Below are 6,000 nucleotides of genomic sequence, written 5' to 3' on the forward strand. Positions count from 1 at the left end.
TGATCTTGGGATCAACACTACCAATGAGAAGGAAACGAGATTGGGCAGAAGAAGTTCAGTTGCAGTGCCATGTCATTGAAGGCCTCAGCCAACTCTGTGTTGACCTGCCTTGGAATGAGGGTCTTGGATTTTTATTCACTTTTGTGGATCAGTCATTAGAGATGGACTGTCCCAGGAGGGCTAAGGTGGCTGTCTTTAGCTGTGGTAATCCTGAAGAGGCCGATAGTAAAGGGTTGTCTGCTGGCGGCTTGCCCCACAGTGGAAGAATAAGTCCTTCCTTCTTAAAGAGGGAATCTACATAGCACATTGCAGTATCTGTTACAGAAGGTGTGGGATATGGAAAACAGCAATGAGTTTAGAAAGAGGTGAACTATGTTACCCATATTAATTCATGTTTGATAGTAAAATATTAATTGAGGTTGGAAGGGAATGGTGATTAAGATATGGGCCAAGATAGATGAGGTAAATATAAACAAAATGAAAATACTTTTGGCAGCTTTAATTAGGCAAGGTAGAATTCAAGGAGAAAATGTCAACAGAGCAGACATTTTTATATACTGATGTAGTCTTCAGTGAAGTTATATTGTTTTAAACTTTTGGACCAAAGAACATATTGAGATACAGAGTATAAACTTTTTTAAAACTTAAGGATAAATTGATAAAAATGTATATGTAATTTATCTCCCAGAATTACTTGATTGCTGGTTTCTCTTGGGTAGTATCTGCATAAATATCTGTCTACTTATTTATTTACATTTAGAAAAGCATATATGTACACAAATAATTTTATACTTATAAAACATTTATATATTTAACTGTAGTATTCTGTGTAGCTATGCCATAATTTAGTCAATTTTCAAGAATTAATATTTTTTCTAATTTTTAACTAATCATCCTACACTGACTATCCTAGAGATAAATCTTCAGATTATAGACTCACAATTTTTTGTATGTGCTTTTACTGTGTTTAGCAGGCTGTCTGCGTTGTTACTTTGGATCTGAAGGAAAGAACTATTTCATTATTTGTAATATTTCATCTGTGAAAAGAAAAATACTTAGGCAAATGAATCTACATTTTAATAATGTTATTTTTATGTTATTTTAGCCTTACGAAGGATGAATCCAAAAGGCCAAAGTATAAAGAGCTTCTGGTGAGTGTGGGACTGTGGGGATTGTAGGTACATCCTAACCCCGGAACTCTCTTAACATGCTGGTTCACTAAGCAAGCAGTGGGCCTCTCTGTCATAAACAAACATCTCAAATTTATTGAGTGTTTTTTGTTAATGTTTTTACACAAAGATTTGGAAAGAGAAAATTTGCAGTTATAATTTTTCTACTAATACTAGCTAAATTCTCATGGAAAATTTTGGTCTTAACATGTTATAAAAATTACCCCCAAAGAATTCTGACTTTAAGAAGCCATTTTCCACTGCATAGTCTATTTATATGGGATGCAGCCATAAGAAAAAAATTAGTGAAAATTTGTGTTTATTCTGCCTTTATAAAATTCATGCAAATTTACGTCATATAGCCTATTCCCATTTCTTTGAAAGTTCTCATTCATCCCATGGAACTTGGGTGTTTTAAGCAGTCTACTGGGTATGGCATTGGTGGGGCAGGGAGAAAGTGTTGTGATCTAATAATGTGGGAATATTTTAAGAAAAGATCCATTTGTTTGTCACATTTAACTACTAGCTCTTCAAGGATGTTGTGACAAACTTATATCACAGTCCACCAATGACTGTAAAAATATCTAGTCAACATACTTAGTCTGTAAAAGAAAACTGTTGCTAGAGATGGAGTTTTAAAAGGTGGGTTAGTGAAGCAGATACTGGGACCCTGGCTCTGGAGAGTACAGGGAAGAAGCTCCTGGGGCAAATTTCTCTTGGGCCTCTTTTGGTCAAAAGAATTACAGCCTTTTTGTTAAAAGGTCAAAAGAAGAGGTCAAAAGGATTGCGACCTTTTTGTAAAAAGGTCCTCCTGTTGTATATAGGAGAAATGGAGGTTGAGATTTATATTGGTGTCCCAAGAGGAATAGTGACTGGCATTTGCGTCATTCTTCTTAGCTCTTAGATGGTGTGGTGGAGGCTCCAGCTATGTTTTGTGCTGAGTGACAACTTGGCTGTCTTCCTCAACAAACACTCCCTGGTATACAGATGAGTTTCCAGACCTCACTGCCAAGGTGGCACCTTCAGATCATTACCACGTATCCTCTCTCTAGGCATGCCCATGCCCATTAGCATATCTGCATGGAATAAAGGCTGTACTCGCCTCTCTGAACTTGTAGTGTTGCGGTATTTCATAGCTATGTGTGGTTGGGAGCCTGGAGTTCTATGTTCTATAGAAATTGGAAAATGTTCAGTTTGGGCTGTCATACAAACTTTTGACTTTTTTGTTTTCAATTTTCTTGCAGAAACATCCCTTTATTTTGATGTATGAAGAACGTGCCGTTGAGGTCGCATGCTATGTTTGTAAAATCCTGGATCAAATGCCAGCTACTCCCAGCTCTCCCATGTATGTCGATTGATATCGCTGCTACATCAGACTCTAGAAAAAAGGGCTGAGAGGAAGCAAGACGTAAAGAATTTTCATCCCGTATCACAGTGTTTTTATTGCTCGCCCAGACACCATGTGCAATAAGATTGGTGTTCGTTTCCATCATGTCTGTATACTCCTGTCACCTAGAACGTGCATCCTTGTAATACCTGATTGATCACACAGTGTTAGTGCTGGTCAGAGAGACCTCATCCTGCTCTTTTGTGATGAACATATTCATGAAATGTGGAAGTCAGTACGATCAAGTTGTTGACTGTGATTAGATCACATCTTAAATTCATTTCTAGACTCAAAACCTGGAGATGCAGCTACTGGAATGGTGTTTTGTCAGACTTCCAAATCCTGGAAGGACACAGTGATGAATGTACTATGTCTGAACATAGAAACTCGGGCTTGAGTGAGAAGAGCTTGCACAGCCAACGAGACACATTGCCTTCTGGAGCTGGGAGACAAAGGAGGAATTTACTTTCTTCACCAAGTGCAATAGATTACTGATGTGATATTCTGTTGCTTTACAGTTACAGTTGATGTTTGGGGATCGATGTGCTCAGCCAAATTTCCTGTTTGAAATATCATGTTAAATTAGAATGAATTTATCTTTACCAAAAACCATGTTGCGTTCAAAGAGGTGAACATTAAAATATAGAGACAGGACAGAATGTGTTCTTTTCTCCTTTACCAGTCCTATTTTTCAATGGGAAGACTCAGGAGTCTGCCACTTGTCAAAGAAGGTGCTGATCCTAAGAATTTTTCATTCTCAGAATTCGGTGTGCTGCCAACTTGATGTTCCACCTGCCACAAACCACCAGGACTGAAAGAAGAAAACAGTACAGAAGGCAAAGTTTACAGATGTTTTTAATTCTAGTATTTTATCTGGAACAACTTGTAGCAGCTATATATTTCCCCTTGGTCCCAAGCCTGATACTTTAGCCATCATAACTCACTAACAGGGAGAAGTAGCTAGTAGCAATGTGCCTTGATTGATTAGATAAAGATTTCTAGTAGGCAGCAAAAGACCAAATCTCAGTTGTTTGCTTCTTGCCATCACTGGTCCAGGTCTTCAGTTTCCGAATCTCTTTCCCTTCCCCTGTGGTCTATTGTCGCTATGTGACTTGCGCTTAATCCAATATTTTGCCTTTTTTCTATATCAAAAAACCTTTACAGTTAGCAGGGATGTTCCTTACCAAGGATTTTTAGCCCCAAATCTCTCATATTCGCTAGTGTTTAAAAGGCTAAGAATAGTGGGGCCCAGCCGATGTGGTAGGTGATAAAGAGGCATCTTTTCTAGAGACACATTGGACCAGATGAGGATCCGAAACGGCAGCCTTTACGTTCATCACCTGCTAGAACCTCTCGTAGTCCATCACCATTTCTTGGCATTGGAATTCTACTGGAAAAAAATACAAAAAGCAAAACAAAACCCTCAGCACTGTTACAAGAGGCCATTTAAGTATCTTGTGCTTCTTCACTTACCCATTAGCCAGGTTCTCATTAGGTTTTGCTTGGGCCTCCCTGGCACTGAACCTTAGGCTTTGTATGACAGTGAAGCAGCACTGTGAGTGGTTCAAGCACACTGGAATATAAAACAGTCATGGCCTGAGATGCAGGTGATGCCATTACAGAACCAAATCGTGGCACGTATTGCTGTGTCTCCTCTCAGAGTGACAGTCATAAATACTGTCAAACAATAAAGGGAGAATGGTGCTGTTTAAAGTCACATCCCTGTAAATTGCAGAATTCAAAAGTGATTATCTCTTTGATCTACTTGCCTCATTTCCCTATCTTCTCCCCCACGGTATCCTAAACTTTAGACTTCCCACTGTTCTGAAAGGAGACATTGCTCTATGTCTGCCTTCGACCACAGCAAGCCATCATCCTCCATTGCTCCCGGGGACTCAAGAGGAATCTGTTTCTCTGCTGTCAACTTCCCATCTGGCTCAGCATAGGGTCACTTTGCCATTATGCAAATGGAGATAAAAGCAATTCTGACTGTCCAGGAGCTAATCTGACCGTTCTATTGTGTGGATGACCACATAAGAAGGCAATTTTAGTGTATTAATCATAGATTATTATAAACTATAAACTTAAGGGCAAGGAGTTTATTACAATGTATCTTTATTAAAACAAAAGGGTGTATAGTGTTCACAAACTGTGAAAATAGTGTAAGAACTGTACATTGTGAGCTCTGGTTATTTTTCTCTTGTACCATAGAAAAATGTATAAAAATTATCAAAAAGCTAATGTGCAGGGATATTGCCTTATTTGTCTGTAAAAAATGGAGCTCAGTAACATAACTGCTTCTTGGAGCTTTGGAATATTTTATCCTGTATTCTTGTTTGAATTCCTCCTCTATTTAAGATATATACATGGAATCGAAGTGTTTATGTAATAGTTCTATCCTTTTGCCTGCAGGTCAGTTGTAATAAATCTAGGATGTGATGATGACTTTGTAATTTGATTTTCTGAAATCAGACCCTGAGAGGGGAAAATCTTAAAGTAAATTACATTAAATTATCTGTGCATTTCACACCAGGGAAAATGACCTCCTTTTGGAAGTGTTTTATGGCTGCTTTCTTTTTCTTCTTCCTTCCCATGGCTACCCTTTTTGCTTATCCTTCTTGAAACCACAGATGTATCTGTTAAGCATAGCTTTGCTTGAACAGGTGTCACAGTCTCTTGAGTTTCTTTGTTTGTTGTCCTGACCTGCCCCAGCATTCTTAATGCTAAAGGAAGTGGGTACAGTTCTTCAACCTGTGTCATGGTGGAGAGGTACAACTTATAAGTCTATCTGGGCCCCGTGTATGGTTTCCAGCCATGCTCTCCGCTCTTGGTGCTTCAGCTGCCAGGTGAGCATTAGATGTCAGGTTAGATACTGGGTTGGAATCACTCACTGTTACCTTAGAAGGGTAGGGAGGATTGTGGGTAGAAGACGTCTGGAGGTCAGACATGGGAGGTTTATGGATGAGAGGACAATGGAAGTGAACAAAAAGCCATGGGAGCCTGAAAACTGTTGGAGAAAAGCACTTTGCGGCTCCAGCACTGAATGTATCTGCTGTACTCTACCTCCTACCAGTGATTGATCAGATAACAGATTCATTGATATTATGGTGATTCAGCACCTTGCCCTTGTGCCTGCTCCTAACTGTACCTGAGATACTATTACACAGCCAGATGTGGTATCAAACATTCCCCTGAGAGGGGTGTGAAAGCAGGAATTCTGGCCTCTCCAGCTAACCTCAGCTGCTAAGGGAAAGGGTACCCATTGGGTTTCAATACTGGCATGAGAGATAGACTACACACTCCATGTTTCATAGGACACTGCCTTGTATTTGTTCATCTCATTTGATTCCAAATGCATCCCACTAAAATCAAGTGGCTGTATCCCCTTTTAGATACAAGAAAACCAAGGTCCGAAGGAGTGAAGTTCTGGCTCAAATAACAGTA

The 6,000-nt window shown here is 39.3% G+C and overlaps 1 protein-coding gene across 5 annotated transcripts in view; it reads left to right on the top strand.

The window, feature by feature from the left end:
* The window catches only part of MAP2K4 (mitogen-activated protein kinase kinase 4), a 122,952-nt gene extending 117,857 nt beyond the window's left edge, over positions 1 to 5,095 (top strand). For 3 of the 5 annotated variants that reach the window (NM_001281435.2, NM_003010.4, XM_005256753.4), the window contains 2 exons: positions 1,106 to 1,151; positions 2,414 to 5,095. In NM_001281435.2, the coding sequence (NP_001268364.1) occupies positions 1,106 to 1,151; positions 2,414 to 2,527 (160 nt within the window). In that variant the 3' untranslated portion in view covers positions 2,528 to 5,095. Of the gene's footprint in view, positions 1 to 1,105; positions 1,152 to 2,413 lie in introns of those variants that run through there. The other 2 variants (XR_007065381.1, XR_007065382.1) reach the window with 2 other exon arrangements.

The sequence above is a fragment of the Homo sapiens genome, chromosome 17 (genome assembly GCF_000001405.40).
Source record: "Homo sapiens chromosome 17, GRCh38.p14 Primary Assembly".
In the NCBI taxonomy this organism is placed as follows: Eukaryota; Metazoa; Chordata; class Mammalia; order Primates; family Hominidae; genus Homo; species Homo sapiens.